General features: G+C 60.0%; 1 protein-coding gene across 2 annotated transcripts in view, besides 3 other annotated features; it reads right to left on the bottom strand.

The window, feature by feature from the left end:
* The window catches only part of CRTC1 (CREB regulated transcription coactivator 1), a 98,654-nt gene that overhangs the window by 5,512 nt on the left and 76,276 nt on the right, over nucleotides 1-16,866 (bottom strand). For both annotated transcript variants that reach the window (NM_001098482.2, NM_015321.3), the window contains 6 exons: nucleotides 16,594-16,814; nucleotides 11,294-11,418; nucleotides 8,029-8,337; nucleotides 5,276-5,380; nucleotides 1,836-1,922; nucleotides 1,001-1,181 (listed from right to left, as the gene is read on the bottom strand). In NM_001098482.2, coding sequence (NP_001091952.1) covers nucleotides 1,001-1,181; nucleotides 1,836-1,922; nucleotides 5,276-5,380; nucleotides 8,029-8,337; nucleotides 11,294-11,418; nucleotides 16,594-16,814 — 1,028 coding nt within the window. The remainder of the gene's footprint in view (nucleotides 1-1,000; nucleotides 1,182-1,835; nucleotides 1,923-5,275; nucleotides 5,381-8,028; nucleotides 8,338-11,293; nucleotides 11,419-16,593; nucleotides 16,815-16,866) is intronic.
* Nucleotides 4,949-5,243: a silencer, noted in NCBI's record as "tiled region #9725; K562 Repressive non-DNase unmatched - State 8:EnhW". NCBI's record gives its function as "represses a minimal TATA promoter and a strong SV40 promoter by Sharpr-MPRA in K562 cells {active_cell/tissue: K562}" and the evidence as "EXISTENCE:reporter gene assay evidence [ECO:0000049][PMID:27701403]".
* Nucleotides 7,341-8,217: an enhancer, noted in NCBI's record as "H3K4me1 hESC enhancer chr19:18879415-18880291 (GRCh37/hg19 assembly coordinates)". NCBI's record gives its function as "activates a minimal SCP1, AML or CMV promoter by ChIP-STARR-seq in primed H9 embryonic stem cells {active_cell/tissue: H9 hESC(primed)}" and the evidence as "EXISTENCE:reporter gene assay evidence [ECO:0000049][PMID:30033119]".
* Nucleotides 8,218-9,095: an enhancer, noted in NCBI's record as "H3K4me1 hESC enhancer chr19:18878537-18879414 (GRCh37/hg19 assembly coordinates)". NCBI's record gives its function as "activates a minimal SCP1, AML or CMV promoter by ChIP-STARR-seq in naive H9 embryonic stem cells {active_cell/tissue: H9 hESC(naive)}" and the evidence as "EXISTENCE:reporter gene assay evidence [ECO:0000049][PMID:30033119]".

The raw sequence follows: 16,866 nt of genomic DNA, 5'->3' as shown, positions 1-16,866 counted from the left end.
ACGAGTCACTGAGAAGCAGGCTGGAGTGACTGTGGGGACCCAGCTGCTGCTAGGGCTGGAGGGAATCCTCAGTTCCCCCACAAAGACCCGGGTTCAAACCTAGGCTTCCACCTACACTCAGGTTCCAGGTCTGAGAAATGGGGCTGAAACGCCCTGTCTTTCTGGGCTCTTGAGGCCATTGCGGGGGTCAGATTCTGATTCTTCTCCTGAGTCTGAGGCTGGCGCGTCCACCCTTGAATTTCTCGTCAACTGCTGCCTACACCCGAGGGGTGGGAAGGAGGTGCTGGATTCTGCACTCAGAGCCCAGGCCACAGTGGGGGAGCACTAAATACGGACACTTCCAGCCTGGAAGAGGCCAGTGAGGACTGCCAGGGGGCGCATCACCCTCAATCCAGCAGCCCTGACTCATAAGGGAATCATCTTCTTCAGCAGGGAGACAGGGTCTGGGTTCTGTGCTAGATGGAGCCGGGTCTTCCTGATATGTGCCATGCAGGACGGGGCTGGCTTGTCCCCAGGAGCCCAGGCGCCGTGCTCAGACTGCTTGGGCGTGGTTGTCACGGTGCATCACGGCCCTGACCTGTTAGCTGGCTGCCCAGGCTGGGCTCACCAGACAGGGCCCACCCCACAGCCGTCCCTGACCCTGGTGCACATTCAGCTGACAGGTCAGTGGCCTGGGCAGTGGGCACCGTGTACCCGGCTGCTTCACCTTTACCCGGGCTGCTTGGCCAGACAGGAGGCCGCCGAGAGGGGAGAGTGACCGTCTCTATCCTATGCACGGGACGTCTGGTCCAGAGGCATCTCCCTGGCCTGGCCTGGCCCGAAGCCCAGGAGTGAGTCAAATTCAGGGGAGAGGGGGTGTGGCCTCCTCAGGCCCCCATCAAGCTTGGGTCACAACCCCGGCCCTGTCAACCCTCCTGCTGCGGGACAGCAGTCTCTGGCTGTCTCCGCACGGGCTGAGGCCCCTTGGGGCGCCGCACACGCGCCCCCGGCCTGGCCTCACCTGTGAGGATGATGTTGGGGATGCCACTGTGGCTGGCGTATCCCAGTTGCTGCGAGTCCGGCAGGCTCCCGTGGCTGCCCGTGAGGCCCATCATGGCCGCCTGCGAGTAGTTGAGTGTGGAGCCCGGGCTGTACAGGCTGCTGGAGCTGATGGCGTTCTCCATCATGTTGAACTGCTCCAGCTGGGAAGGGAGGCACACCAGGCTGTGAGGGCCACCGCGGGCCTGCCCAGCTGGCCACCCCAAGCCCTTGGCTGCTGTGGCTGTCCTGCCCGCAGCTGGGGACTCTGTCCCTGCAGGATGCTCGGCACCCAGGCTGCCAAGCACGAACCCCACTCCACCCGCCACCTGGGGCCTCCCCGCCACCCTAGAGACTGGCTGGATGAATGGATGAATGGATGAGCAAATGAGTGAGCAGCTCCAGGCTGCCACCAAGCCCCCTGGATGCCCCCGATCCTGGCCTCCACGCAAAGCCAGCACGACCTCCCGGCAAACCCGCGTGCACGGTCCATGCCGAGGCGCCGCGTCCACAGCCACGGTCCCATCCCTGTCTGGCCCGGCGTTTGCTGCCTGCCCCCCCTCACCCTCTGCCCTCGGCCTCCGCTCTGTAGGTGGGCAAAGATGCCAGGGGAGGCAGCGCTAGGCCACCCCTGCCGGGGACTCAGCCTCCATAGCCCGCAGATGGGACGGGGCGGGGGCCGAGGGGCAAAGCTGAGGGGCAGGCACGGGCCCCCCGAGCACGTGCAGCTCTGACTCGCAAGGCCCGGGTCCCAGCGAGGGTCCCAGCAAGCATCTGTCCTGGGCACCGGCCGGCTGGCAGCCTGGGCGCCCGCTCACCTGGTGGGACAGAGCATTGGCCTGCCTGGCCGCCATCTGCTGCTCATAGTACGCGTCCCCAAACACGCTGCCCAGGGTGGAAGTGTGCTGCAGACAGAAGAGAGGCCTGCTGTGGTCACGGCCTGAGGCCAGGTGGGAAGTCGGCACCTCCCAAGCCCGGCTGGAAGACAAGAGGCCCCTGGAACCTCCCAGACGGCAGGAGGCTGATGATGATGCTTATTTTGGGGTTCCAGAAGTGCCCCCCAATCCTGGATGACTTTTTTTCTGCCACCTGCTCCTGGGAGGCCTCTGCAACCCGAAAGCCCCTTCCCAAGGCCCCATCCCCATCTCCTCTCCTCAAGCCTGGGTAAGGCAGCCTCTATCTCCATCACAGGGAAGTTGGGGGCCACAGGGATGAGGAACCCCCACCCAACAGGCCCCAGAGGAGAACCTGTCACCAGGGCCAAGGCGGGAAGTGCCCAGACGTTACATTCAGGACAGAAAGTGCACTTGGTGACTCCTGACAGGAGACAAAGGACACGACGCAGGCCACGTACATGGACAGGATGGGCGCACAGAGCCAGCCACCAGCTGAGAGAGCACAGGACAGGCACAGGGAGAGCCCCTGCCCAGGGCTGCCAGCCTGCAGGACCCGGGGCCCTACTCCTGCTATCTGAGGCCAGCAGGGCTCTCAGAGGCAGGGTGACAGGGGCTGTCCCTTGACAGGAGCAGGGGGCTAGGGGACCTTATGGGTGGTGGAGACGCTAGAAAGGAGACACTCGGAGCCCCTCCCCAAGAGATGGTGGGATGAGGTCTGGCTGGGGTGTGGAGGCGAGGAGGGGGTGGCCGTGGACGAGGCCTCGGGAACCCCAGCTGCAGTGTGACCTTGTGGCTGCTGGAGGCCTGGCAGCATCCAGGGGGCTGGGAGCTCTGGCTAGTGTCCCCAGGAAGCCACTGCCCCACAGCCATTCTCAGAGCTATAGCGTAAGGCATGTGCCCTATAAGGCGTCCAGGTGAATGTCTCCACAGACCCAAAGCCCTGGCCCTCTCCCTTGGAGCTCCCCATCTGAGCTTTGTTCTAGAGAGATCCCCTTTGTTCCAGGAAGATCCCAACGCCTGAGTCTCTGGCCTCAATCCCAGAGAGGGGCCGGCCACAAACCCACCAGTTGCTCCTGGTGGTCAGTGGGCAGACAACAGAGACAGACACGCTCACCCTGGGGCGAGGAGGCTTGTGAGGTTGGACGTCCCACTCAAACGCCAGAGAAGAGGTAAAAAGGTGACCCAAGGAAGGGAAGGCCAGCACGTGTGGCAAAAATGCTATCTTGGCCCTAAAAATCAACGGCTTCAGGTTTTGGAAACAAGGACCGCAAGCTTGCGGCTTGGTTTGCCCGAGGCGAGGGAGGCAGGCAGGCAATAGGTAATGTCCTGGCTGTCGTAGAGCTGGTCTGAAGCTGGGTCTGTCCTGGGGCTCGGGGTGTGGGGTGGGACCAGGCTTCCAGGACAGCGCCTGATCCTGTCCCTGAGGGCTTGGGCTCAAAAAGGCCTGGCATACACAGGGGAACACAGGCTGAGGTTTCCCTGTGAGCCTGCCATGAGGGCTTGCCAGAAAGGTGAGCTTGAAGTTGGGAGAGAGCCACAAACTGGACCAAATGGTAGCTGCCTGTGGCCCAGGGCCTGGCTAGGGTGCACACAGTGGCTACTCAAGGCAGGACACAGCAGGTGTGGGGTGGTCTGGGCCTGTGGGACCGATGGGTGAGTCCTCGGAGACCCAGTGCAGAGGGAAGGCAGGTCTCGGCTCCACCTAGAACCATCTGCCCCTGAGAGCCCCGTACTGATGTCCCTATACCTCCATGAGCCGCCTGCCTCCTGCATCAGCGCACGACGGACACCAGACACACAGACATGGGCTTGACAACACCGCCACCTGCTCGCTGCCCAGCAGACTAACCCGCTTTGGCTTGGGGCCCAAAAATTCACCAACCATTCCAGTGACTCTCTCCTGAGAGAAACTGGCTCGACTCCTAATTCCTGTCCCGTCCTGTCTCACATGCAAGAGGGACCTCACTCAGGAACCAGCCCCACCTGGGCTGCCCACCTGGGACAGGCCTCACCTGCCGCTTCTCCAGCCCCTCCAGCCCCATCCCCAACAGTACCACACGACGAGACCAGACACGCTGCCAGAGCCCGAGAGCTCAGAGAGCCAGTGCGGGCAGACCAAGCATGCGCAGACACCAGGCTGACCCCCATGCCTCCCCGAGACCACTGCTGCCCACCAACTTGCCTCCAGAACACGGGGCTACAGGCAGTGGTCCCAGACGGCCCTTGGCTGATGGGGCAGATGTCCCTATACACGTGTGAGAGCTGGAGATGGGGGCAGAGGGGCTTCACTGTCCTTGTCTGTGGCGCTCACGGTTTGCCCTGGGACAAGGGAGCCCGACCTCAGCCCTGGAGGAGCGACTCTTTTATCTAGCTGGGAAGTAGGACGAGAGCATCCCCTCTACAGGGGACAGGGATGGCTTCAGGGCCCCGGGCACAGCAGTGGCTGCTAGGGGTTTCTCAGCTTGGTGAAATTTCAGGGATGAGATGGTCCCAGGATAGCGGGGTTCTGGGGAGGCTCTGCTGCCAGGGTAAAAAAAGTTGGCGGCTGGATGTTGGCCTTGTGGGCACCCCTTCTCCCGGACAAATGTTCTAGATGGAATGTGGGGTCTACTGGCCACACCTGATGTCAAAGTACAACAGGAGGAGGCTGAGTGGGGAGCCAGGCTGGCCGCTTCCACTGGCCAGGCAGAACGAAGGGGCATTCCGAGGAACCTGAACCTTGGAGTGGCTGGGGCGTGAGCAAGCCAGGGTCCTACGGTGCTGGGTGCAACAGGAAAACCCAGGGCTGATGGGTGAGGTTTGAGGCTGACCTCAGTCTCCCGTCTGTGGAATGGGGACAAGGGCCCTGAGACACTGCAGAGCGGCTCAGAGAAGCCTCCTGGGCCAGTGGTTCTGGAGAAACACAGCTGCCTATGGGGTGAAGGGGAAAGCAGGGCTGCAGAGTCAGCGCCTTCCCTGCGGGCGGGCCAGCCACCTCAGCTGCACCCCCAAGTCGGGGGGGTCCCTAAAGCTCCAGCTCATGCTCTGGGTGACACACTGGGTGTGGAGGGCATTGTCCCTGGGCCACTCAATGAGGACATCCAGGCAGGGCCACAGCCATCGCTAATGTCACTAACGCACACCCCCACCTAGTGTTCAGCAGAGGCAGGCTCTGGCGGCTCCTGGGAAGGACCCTGTGGGGTTCCTGCCCTGGTGCAGCCTGGTAGGTGCACAGCTCAGGTCCGATGGCGTGGACGGGATGGGATGCATGAGGACATGCATGAGGAGCGATGCATGAGGACAGACAGTGGGCAGGGAACACACGGGGCATGAACAAGACAAGCGTGGAGCCCACAGGCCAAGGGGGAGGCGGCGCCCCTTACTTGCGGGGAGCTCCCTGGGGAGAAGCCTTGATTGGAGACTGGCGAGGTGGGAGACTGGTTGGCCGGGGAGCCGGCGCTAGTGCGGTACTGCTGCAGAGCCGGCGCCTGCGATGACAGACAGATCAGCACGCCGCAGCCCAGCTGCCCAAGCCCGGGCTCCAGTCCCTGCTTCCCGGGAGCAGCCTGATCAGCCCCCAGGCAGGTCCCCCCGCCCCTCACACCTTGGTGATGGTCGCCACCCCACTGGTAGGCAGAGGAGCCTGGACACCTGCAGGAAAGGTGGGTACCTGAGCCTCCGGGGAGCTGCCCCCGAACCCAGGAAGGAACGGCGTGGAGGGTGAATAACTGCCCTCCTTCTTGGAGCTACAGGAGGGTGATCAGAGGGTTGGCCCTGACTCAGCAGGCTCAGAGCCATATAGCAACGTGTGCACTCTCATGCATGCACACCCACACAGACATACCCACGTGTACACATATCCACACTAGAATATACATACCCACACATGCACACCCACACATGTGCACATATCCACACATGAATGTACATGCCCATGCATGCACACCCACACATGCACACACACGCATACTCACACCCACAAATGCACACACACAGGCACACATCCACACACAAACGTACATACCCACAAATGCACACATGCACACAAATGTACACACCCACGCATGCACACCCACACCCACATGCACACCCACACCCACATGGACACACCCACGCATGTACACACCCACACACACATATATTCACACACCAAAATGTACACACCGTGTGCACACACCCACACAAGCACACATATCCACACACAAATGTCCACATATCCACAAATGTCCACACATCCACAAATGTACATACCCACGCATGCACACATGCACACACATTCACATGCATGCACACCCATGCAGGTGCACACCACATACACCCGCACCCACCCACTTGTGCACACCCACAACCCACACACACACACCGCCATGGGCAGGGAAAACCCAAGGCTGCCTCCTGTTCCCGGCTCTCGCTGACTGTGTGCCCTGGGCAGGTCCCCTGGCTCTCTAAGCCCCTAAGTCTGCAGCCCAGCAGGTCTGGCCCACCTCTGGGGGTGGGGACTGAGTGAAGGCCATCTTGCTGGTAGCCCAGGCTCCCAGCATGGCGCAGTCACTATCCCTGCCCTGCTGCAGGACAAACCTGCCTGGGTTATGCCATCTGAGACCTGCAAGGGGCAGTCACTTCCTCCACCTGCTCGAGGGACGAAAGGCCCGGGCATCTCACTGCTATGACCCAGAACTTTCAGAGGCAGGTCGGGCCAGGCCAGGCCCCGGATTCAGACCACTCTCTTGTCCTAGCACGGCCCAGCCATGCTGTGTGCCTGCAGACAACTTGCCTGACCTGTCTGAGCCAGTCACTGAATGAGGCCCAGCCTGACCGGTCCAGGGCCTATAATTGCTGTCTCCCCCATGTCCTTGGTGGCGCCTTCTGGGCAGTTTGGGGTAGGGCTTGAGTCCAGGTGGGGCGGGGTGGGGTAGGGCGGGGGGTGGCGGTGAGCTCGCCTGCGTGGGTGATGGAGGTGCCAGCACTGTTACTTAGGGATGGCTGACTTGGGCCTTCCTGGAGTTGGAAAGGACAAAGGGATCAGAGGGAGATTCTCATTTGGGTGAGTCTGTGCAAAAACTCAAGAGTCCCCCCTCAACCCCAGGAGGCTAGAAGTCCTTGAAGTGGGGGCAGGAAGCCGTCTTTGTTGTGTGAGGGTGCTGGACATGGACAGCCTGACCCAAGAGCCCTAGAAGGGCCGTCCCTGCACCTGGCCCAGACACCCTGTGACTCCAAGAACCACCCAGCTCCAAGGCGAGGCCCCACCTTGGGAGCCTCCCCCAGGACCTGCTGTGTTTCCACCAAAGAAAGGACTTGGGCACTCTTCCACCCAGGGGCCGTGGGTGGTCCCCTCCGTGAGGTCAGAGCAGCTTGGGAACATGGGTGTCTACCCACAGGCTCACCTGCCTGCCCCACCCAGCTCAGGCGGCTGTTCTTTGCAGAGCACACAATGTTTGGAGGACATTTAGCCTGGGGCTGGCAGTCGGGGTCAAGTGGGAGGACTCATTGTGCCCGGAACACAAGTCCCTGTTTCCCTGGATGTGGCCCAATGCAGCTGTTTGCCACCCAGCCCGCGCCGCTGGAGCAAGCAGGTGGTCTGGACAGTCAGGAAGGTTTGTGGGTACAGGGTTAAAGCCCAGCCTTTGTCTGCCTGAGCCGGCCCTAGGCAGAAAAGTCCAATGGTCTGAGCTGCAGCCCCCAGCCCTGGGCCCCAGGCGCTGTGCCCAACGGGCTGCCGCCTCTTGGACTGGCCTCGTCTTTCCTTCTCTGATAAGCTCACGTCATCCCCGGCCCCCGGCCTGCGCCCTGGCCCTGAGAACGCCGTACTCTTCTTGCCTCCTAGGAAGCCTGGCTTCAGGTGGGAGGGGCCAGAGAGGCCAAGAAGGGGTGCTCGGCAGTTAAACATGGGGTGGCCCACCTTGGGTGGAATCTGGGGCCAGCCACCTGCTCGTGCCTCAGTTTCTCCATCTCTACAGGGAGTGACAGTCTCAGTTTGATTCCAAGGGGTAGCCCCGTGGAGAGGTGGGCCCAGGCAGCGTTCGCTGGGGTTCTGACCCCTGGCCCATGCAGCAGGTAACCCGACTGTTCTGCAGCCCCCGGGCTGTCCTCTACAAGACCCCCAGTCAGGCCCCGAGGGACCCCACCCTGGGCTTACCGAGGCGATGTCGATCCCCATCGATGGCTGGCCAGGGTTCTCTGGGGGGGACTGGGGGAGAGAGGACGGTACCGTGACTGCAAGCGGGGGCGGCTGTGGCCCACGAGTCAGGCTGGCGCTGGGCAACAGGGGGCCACCAGGGGGCAGGCGGACGGGCGCCTGTGGGGGTGGCGGGGGTGGTGGCTGCTGGGACGCGGGTGGAGGAGGCGGCGGGGGCTGGGGCTGCGGCGGTGGCTGCTGGGAGCCCGCCTGGGTGAAGAAGGCGTAGGGCAGCTGCTGCTCCAGAGACAGGGCGTCCATGGCTACAGCCTGCAGGAGAGGAGAGCGTCAGGCAGGGCGGGCCCTGGTTGTCAGCGCCTGGCCCCCTCGGGCCCCCATAGCCTGGCATGCTCAGCAGGCGAGGTGGAAGGGCCCTGTGATCACAGGCAGCCCCTGGGCTGGGTGCTCCTCACGATGAGGGAGCCCAGGCTAGAGAGGGTGGGCCTCACGCAGGGCCCCAAGGGGGTCAGCTGGAGCTGGGCAGGACCTGACCTCCTCCAGCTTGTTGTGCCTGCACCCGCACTACATGCCGTGCAGCTCAGGCCAGTCCACCAGCTGCAGGGCAAGCCCAGGATGGCCATCCCTGGTGGCTCAGTGAGCAGCCAGCTCCCAGCCCCTGTGGGTGCTGCGGGGAAACCTCAAGTGATCCACTGGCCTTGCCTTCCCAAACCCCCCCGCCCAAAGCCTTGCCCACTCTGGGGATGCTGGAGAGGCTGGGGTTGCTGGAGATACCAGCATGGCCCCTCACCAAGGGCTGGCTCAGGCCTTCGCAGAGCTGGAAAGAGGAAAATCAATAAGAGGGAAGTGTGTGACGTTCACTGTCTGTGTGGAAACTCACAGCCAGGGGCTACCAAGCTGACAGTCCTTGGGAAAGGTGGGGTCCCTGCCCTCTAAGAAAGGCTGAGCGTGCCCAGGAGCTATGGAACAAAAACCACTTAGCAGGATGCCCGGCCTCTGAGGACCAGTGGGTCATTTGTGAAGAGAAAGGAGTTTCCAGATAGAGGGAAGGGGCAGGTGTCAGATTAAGACAGCCTAGCTCACAAAGTGGCTGAAGACACAGCTGCCAGGAGCCAGCGCCCACAGCTCTGTCTGGATCTTGATCTGAATAAGACACCTTTGTAAGCAGACAGGAGACATGGGGGCCGAGGGGCGGGGAGAAATGGAGTCCGGGCCGGGCATTGCCAGGTACCAAGGAACTACCATTAACTTCGTTGTAGGTGGACAATGCCACTGTGGTTACATTAAAAACAAACAAGTGACGGGCGCGGTGGCTCACACCTGCAATCCCAGCACTTCGGAAAGCTGAGACAGGGTGATCACTTGAGGTTGGGAGTTTGAGACCAGCCTGGTCAACAAGACGAAACTCTGTCTCTACTAAAAATACAAAACTCAGCTGGGCATGGTAGGCACATGCCTGTAATCCCAGCTACTTGGGAGGCTAGCACGAAAATCGCTTGAACCTGGGAGGCAGAGGCTGCAGGAGAGCCAAGAGCACGCCACTGCACTCCAGCCTGGGCGACAGAGTGAGACTCTGTCTCAAAAAAAAAATTAAATTAAAATTAAAAAATAAAAAAATTTTAAAAATGTCAAAGTTCTCTGTTAGGGTTTTTTTGTTTTGTTTTTAAAAAGACAAAATGGATAAATTTCTAGAAATGCACAAATGACCAAAACTGACTCAAGAAAAAACAGAAAACCTGAATAGCCTTATAAGAAGGAGATGAGATTGGAAACTTCCCAACACATTTGAGCTAAGACACAGGTGGCTGCACTGGTGAATTTTACCAAACCTGGGACTACAGGAATTTACCATTACACCCGCCTAATTTTACCAAACTTTTAAAGAGGAATTAAAAATACTTCCAAAAAATAGAAGAGAAGTGAACATTCCTAACTCATTCTATGAAGCTGCATTGATTAGGTAAAAAAGAGGGAAGATTCAAATTACTAAAATCAGAAAATGAAAATGGGAACTTTGCTACCAACTTTACGTAAATAAAAAGGATTACAAGGCTGGGTGTGGTGGCTCACGCCTATAGTCCCAGCACTTTGGGAGGCCGAGGTGGGCAGATTGCCTGAGGCCAGGAGTTCGAGACCAGCCTGGCCAACATGGCAAAACCCCATCTCTATTATTATTTTTTTTAATTAGCCAGGCGTGGTGGCGGTCACCTGTAATCCCAGCTACTCAGGTGGCTGAGGCACAAGAATTGCTTGAAATTGGGAGGCAGAGTTGCAATGAACCAAGATCACGCCACTGCACTCCACCCTGGGTGACAGAGCGAGACTCTGTCTCAAAAATTTTTTTAAAAAAGGGATTACGGTCAGGCGCGGTGGCTCACATCTGTAATCCCAGCACTTTTGGAGGCCAAAGGAGGCAGATCACTTGAAGTCAGGAGTTCGAGACCAGCCTGGCCAGCATGGTGAAACCCCATCTCTACTAAAAATACCAAAAAAAAAAAAAAAAAAAAAATTAGCCAGGCATGGTAGCACATGCCTGTAGTCCCAGCTACTTGGAAGGCTGAGGCAGGTGAATGGCTTGAACCCAGGAAGCAAGGTTGCCGTGAGCCGAGATCATGCCACTGCACTCCAGCCTGGGCTACAGAGCAAAACTTCGTCTTAAAAAAAAAAAAAAAGGATTACAAAAGAGTATTATGAAAAATTTTCTGCCATCAAGTTGGATAGCAAAGACGAAATGGACAAATTCCTAGACACATACAAACTACCCAAAAAAGTAGACAAGCAAATACAGCAAATTGAAAAATCAAAAGCTAACCTCTTGAGTTTTTTCTTTTTTTTTGAAACAGAGTCTCACTCTGTCTCCCAGGGTAGAGTGCAGTGGTGTGATCATGGCTCACTGCAGCCTCCACCCCCTGGGCTCAAGTGATCCTCTCATCTTAGCCTCCCTAGTAGCTGGGACCACAGGCGCACACCACCATGCCCAGCTAATTTTTGTATTTTTTGTAGAGACGAGGTTTCACCATGTTGGCCAGGCTGGTCTCGAACTCCTGACCTCAACTGATCCACCCGCCTCAGCCTCCCAAAGTGCTGGGATTACAGGCATGAGCTACGGCACCCGGCTTGAAAATTTGATAATAAAAACTAAAAGTGTTGGGAGCATTCTCAAGGTTTTGTGGCCTCCTGGAAGGAACAGGAGGCCTTCTAAGAGGTAGAGCCAGGCCTCCACCTTTCCCTTTCCCCCTCCCACCTGCCCCCCACCTTGCCCTCGCACCTGAGTGATGGGTGACAGCGGGGACAGGGTGGGCGATGCCTGCTGACGCCTTGCCTCTGTGCTCAGGGACAGGGGGCTGACGCCAGCTGGGCGGTGCTGTGGAGAGGAGCCAGGTGTGCTCATTCCTAGAGAGGAAGTAGGAGGGAGGGAGAGCAGGTGTGAGACTGATCACTGAGAAAGGGCTGCTTACACACCCACAGTCACACTGCATGGGAATAGCTCAACTGCTCAGACAGAAGCCCATGGACATGTCCCAACTGCCAAACCTGGGCACCCCCCGAAGGCCCTGATTCCTGACCCGAGGGTCCCACAGTCCTGCAGAGTCTGTTCTCCTTCCTTCCAGGAAGGGGGTGTCTCACAGCCAGCCAACCAGCACATCCCCATCTCTGGAGCATAAGATTGGCCCCCAGATGGGCATGTAACCAGGCTGGCCCAATGAGAGCCTTCCCAGGGGCTTTGGATGGAATTCCAGGAAGGGCTGTCTGAAGCCGTGTGTGGGGCATCCTGTGGCGAGGTGAGGAGCCAGCTGAAGGGCTGCAGGGGAGAGGCAGCATCTGAGCCTGCTTCCCACTTTCAGGAGACAATAAATGGTTTTTTTTGGCTGAAAATGGCTTGGGTTGTGGTTAGCTTCAAGCCAGCAGGCCCTGCCCAATGCTGTGGTTTTGCCCACCACCTCGTGGATCTTGCCCTCCTTCAGTGAATGTGCCCATTCCTGCAGCTGCTTCTCTTGGCCCCCAGACCTGAGCACCTGCTATCCCCTATGTCCCACAGCCACTTCCTCCTCCCCAGACCTGGTGCATTCCCCAAGCTGCAGTGCCACCCATCAGGCTGTCTGAACTAAAGAATGTCACTCCTTAACATCCTTCCCCCTCTCTGCCCTGGGGTCTGACACATCATTCCTGCTGGAGGTCCTGCCAGGAGCCGCCTCATCACCCCTTCCCTCACCCCGGCCCCGAAGGCCCTTGCACTGAGCAACCCAATCCTTGGATTCTGCTGCAGTGATGAAGCTGGGTGAGGTCAAGTTCAACATGGCAGTAGCTGGGGCTGGCTGGGTTATTGTGGGCACCATGCCAGGCAGGCAACAGGCCCCTCGATGGCAGGAGGACCCCTGCGAGCCTGGCCTGACCCCCATCCACTCTGGAGACTTGGTTCCCTGGTTGGTGAGATGGCGACGATAACAGCCGCCCTCTCCGGTTCAAAGTGAGGCCCTGGTGAGGTCAGGAGCAGTCTCTGAAGAGCATCTGGCCTGCAGTCAAGGCGGGGGTGAAGCCGCCTGACTCACCCCAGGAGATCTGGGCACCAGATTAACCTTGTTCCGGCAGATGAGACGGCGGGTGCGTGGGCCCATGGGAACACACCCGACAAGCGCCGAGGGGAGATGACAGCCTTGTCCGTGCCCAGGGCAGCTGCTCACCGGGGCGAGCTCGGTCACGCCTGCACTTCCCCTCGGATGCCCTGGCAGCTCTGCTTGGCTGCGCACTGTGGGAGGAAGCCTGGTGCTGTTGACTGCTCCCCAGGCAGCAAGCGCCCTTTGCAGGCCCTGGCGTCCAGGGAGGCATCAACAGAGGCCTGGACGGGAGGATGTGGGGGAAGCCTGCTCAGAGCACACTCAGAGTCACGACCCTGGGCCACTCCCTCATCTTCTCCTGAGTGTCCGCCACTTCGTGCGTCCAGCAGGCCGAGAGATGCTCAGTGCCCAGGTCAGAAGCAGAGGTCGGGCTCGGTACAAAGTAGGGGCAAACGTCAGGAGCGTGTGAGGGTATGGATGTGGGACGACAGGGGCGGGTGGGGCCTGAGGCAAACCAGAGCACTGTGGCCCGTCTCGAGGTGCAAGACATCGGCCATGGCCACTGGGCTGTCTGATTCTTCAAGAGCAGCCAGAAATCTGGTGTTCTACGGGCATTCCCCTGGTTTTTCAATGTTGATTCTAAGTACAGTCAAGCATCACTTAACAATGGGGGTGACTTCTGAAAAAACGCGTTGTCCGGCGATTTCATGGCTGTGCATGAGGATCACAGGGCAACTTACACAAACCTGGATGGCAGAGCCTCTGCACACCTCGGCCAGACGGTAGGGCCCTTGTTCCCAGGCTACAAACCTGTACAGGGTGACCGTCCTGAATACCGTCGGCCAGGCACAGTGGCTCACGCCTGTAATCCCAGCACTTTGGGAGGCTGAGGCAGGCGGATCACCTGAGGGCAGGAGTTTGAGATTGGCCTGGCCAATGTGGTGAAACCCCGTATCTACTAAAAATACAAAAATTAGCCAGGCGTGGTGGTGGGCGCCTGTACTCCCAGCTACTCGGGAGGTTGACGTAGGAGAATCGCTTGGGACTGGGAGGCGAAGGTTGCAGTGAGCCGAGATCACACCACTGCACTCCAGCCTGGGTGACAGAGTGAGACTTTGTCTCAAAAAAAAGAAAAAAAAAATTAAAAACAGTAGGCAACTGTAGCACAATGGTAAGGACTTGTGTGTCTAAGCCTAGAAAAGGAGCAGTAAGACACAGCATTATACTCTGATGGGGCCACTGCCGATTATGTGGTTTGCTGTTGTCAGAAACGTCAAGATGTGGCGTGTGGCTGTATTACAGATGCACAACTGTGGGCCCACACGAAACATACCATGGGCTGGATTTGGCCCTTGGGCTGCCAGTCTCTAATGTCTGCCCTGAATACAAGGGAGTTTTTAATCTTCCACTGGCTGCAAAGTGAGCTCTCGGCCACCCCTGGAGAGGCCAGTTGGCCCAGGAGGGCGGACGGGAGCCTTGCTGTTGAATTCCTTTTGGCAACCTGGCTCACCTTTGGGAACAGGCACAGAGCCAGCTGGAGGGGAAGTCTGGAGCGGGCAGGGAGAGCTGCCAGGGGAGGGCGGGCCAGGTGTCAGGGCCCGCCCGGCCTCAAAGCTGGGCCAGGAAGGAGGAGCCAGGGCCTGCCCTCCTCCTGCACTCTGGAAAGCAGCCAGGGATATGGGAAATGTAGATGGAGCCAAGCGGGGTACTGTCTCCTCGGCCGCGAAGGCCTCTGTCTTCCTTCCTGAGGGAGCTCACGTTCTGACTGGCGGGTGGGCTTGCGAGGAGGGAGGGGGCCACCTTCGTGTGTGCCAGGGGCCGGCAGCTCGGCTTGATTTAAAAGGCGTCCAGAAAGCAAAGCCCCTGCCAGGCGAGCTGCTTGGGCGGCAGGTTCACAAACAACCCAACACATGTCAGGCATTACCGGGCCGCTCTGGCCAGCGCCGGCTCCAGCTTCCACGTATGTTGTGTGTTTCCTTGTGCTTGTTTAGACTGGGTGCCTGCTGGAGGTGCGCAGCTCCCGGGCGGGCGCTGGGGACCTGCCAAGGACCCTCCAGCGGGAAGGGGGCCATGTGCTCTGGTGGCCGTGAAGAGATGTGAGGGGAAAAGCAGGGGCTGGGAGATGGTGGCTTCTATGCGGGGCAGGGGTACCTGCAGCCCCAGCGCTGACCTTCAGCTTTCTGGTTCTGCGCAGGTGCGTGTGGATGCCGCCTGCCTGGCCCTGTCTATCTGGAGACAATGAAGAGGGCTCCTCCGAATCGGCTGTGTTTTCTGGGCCTTCTCTGGTGCCCTCTGTCCAGTGGCAGAGCCCCGCGGGCCCAGGGCCCAGGGCCCAGGTGTGGGAGTCAGAATGCAGCCTCAATGCGCTCGGGCTGGGGCCCTGTTCCCTCTTCACTATTCTAGTCCCCATGCCCTCCTCCAAAAAACCCAGGAACATTCACGCCACCCTCCACGCCCCTTGCCTGCCCCTGGCCCTGCTGGCACCAAAGCCAGGAACGCCTCCAGGCTCCTCCCTCTCCTTCACTCCCTGCATCAACCCAGCTCCCAGGCTGGCCAATTTCACCCTGGAGTCTCCAGGCAGAGCCCCCAATTGGGGTGCTGTCCTGCTCCAGTGGCCGCCCCTCCCAAAAGCTCCTTCTTCCAGGGCAGCCAGGGGGACTCCGCCAGTTACAAATGTAAGCATGTGACTATCTCATAGAAAGCCCTGCCTGGTGCTGCCTTCCAAGCCTGGGGCAGAGGCAGGATGGGCTGGTGGAGTGGGCCGGGGCCGGTTCATTCTCCAGCTCTGGGGCAAGACAGAGCACAGCAAGGTGGCGTCTGTCACCCCCACCCCCAGTGCATCCCCCACAGCCCCTCCAGCCTGTCCCACCCCCCAGGACTAGTTGGGGCCACGCCATTTCTCCTCCTTGGAAGCCAGGTGCCTGCCACCCCCGGGATGCAGGTCACACACTGCACAGCCAATGGGGACGCAGGCAACAGCTAAGGACGGAGCAGCAACGTGGGCCAGGGCAGGGGTGCAGGAAAGCAACGCGGCAGTAGAGGCCAGGGCCGGGACGGCCTTGCCAAGGGGACTAGCTCTGACCAGGGCAGGGCAGGGCAGGGGAGGGAGGGAGGCCTGCAGCCTCCTGGAGAGGAAGGACTACATGTGCAGAGGCCCTGAGGTGGGACTGGGGCTAAGTTCAGAGGGTGGAGGGTGGGCCAGGGTGGACATCCCAGACCCTGGAGGCCTCAGGCTTTCACTGAGAGGGAGCTGGGGGCCGTGCGAGGTCCCAAGTGGAGGAAGCCATGGCTGGTGGCTGTTCTAGGTGGGGAGGGGGCTGGGGGCCTGGGGAGAGGAGCCAGGTCAGGCCAGGTCCTGAGGGCGGAACCGACAGGACACGCTGACAATGGGTCAGGTCCATGTCTGGGAAAGGACAGAGGAGTTGGGGGACACCTCTGCAATCAGTGCAGCCACAGGAGGGGGGTCCCGGGGGAGCAGGGCGGCAGCAGCGCCAGGAGCTATTGGGACGGGCGAGGGGCCTGTGCGACGTCCCTGTGGATGTGGCTGAGGAAGAAAGGAGTGTGGAGCTGGAGACGGGTGGGGGTGGTGGTGCTGGGATGTGACAAGTAGGTGGTCACTGTCAGATGTCGGGTGGAGGAAGCAGGTCAGGCCTGGTCCCGCCCCCCAATGAGGGGCTGGGGTCGAGGAGGGGCGGAGGGAAGGCCTGGCCCACCCCAGCTGCGTTAAAACTCCCAGGGCTTCCCTCCTGGACTCCCCAAAGCACCATCACACACCCTCAAACCCACTGTCTGGTGTCTGGGGGCACCAGGCACTCCTTTCCACCAGGCCTGTACCCAGGCCCCACCCCTACCTGGGATGCCTGTGCCCGCTGGGTCAGCCTGTCGGCCGCCCCCCAGCCCTGTCCCCCATGCCCTAGTATTTGGAACGGGACTCTGCCAAGTCATCCTGCAGATGCCCGTGTTGTCTCCACAAGCCAGTGCTCTGTCCGAGGGCGGAGTGTCCCTGCCTTACCCTGGCCGGCGCCACCGATGCCCAGGTGCGTCAGGTTGGCCGCGAGGTTGCCGGTGCTGCTGGAGCTGCTCAGTGCAGGGAAGGTGGGCTCCTCGGGGTCCAGCGGGGTCGGGAGCGGGGAGGGGAAGTGGATGTTGGTCAGGTCGGGCAGGGACCCCCCTGTGTTGTGGGTGGCGGGGATCAGGGCTGTAGTGTTTTCCTGGTCGGCAGACGGGAAGATGCTGGGAAAAGGCCAGAGGCAGGCAGGAGGTGAGCTCATGGGGCGGGGCTGGC

Source organism: Homo sapiens, chromosome 19 (genome assembly GCF_000001405.40).
Source record: "Homo sapiens chromosome 19, GRCh38.p14 Primary Assembly".
Lineage (NCBI taxonomy): Eukaryota > Metazoa > Chordata > Mammalia > Primates > Hominidae > Homo > Homo sapiens.
The sequence above is the reverse complement of the archived record's forward strand: the minus strand, read 5'-3'. Positions and strand labels throughout refer to the sequence as shown.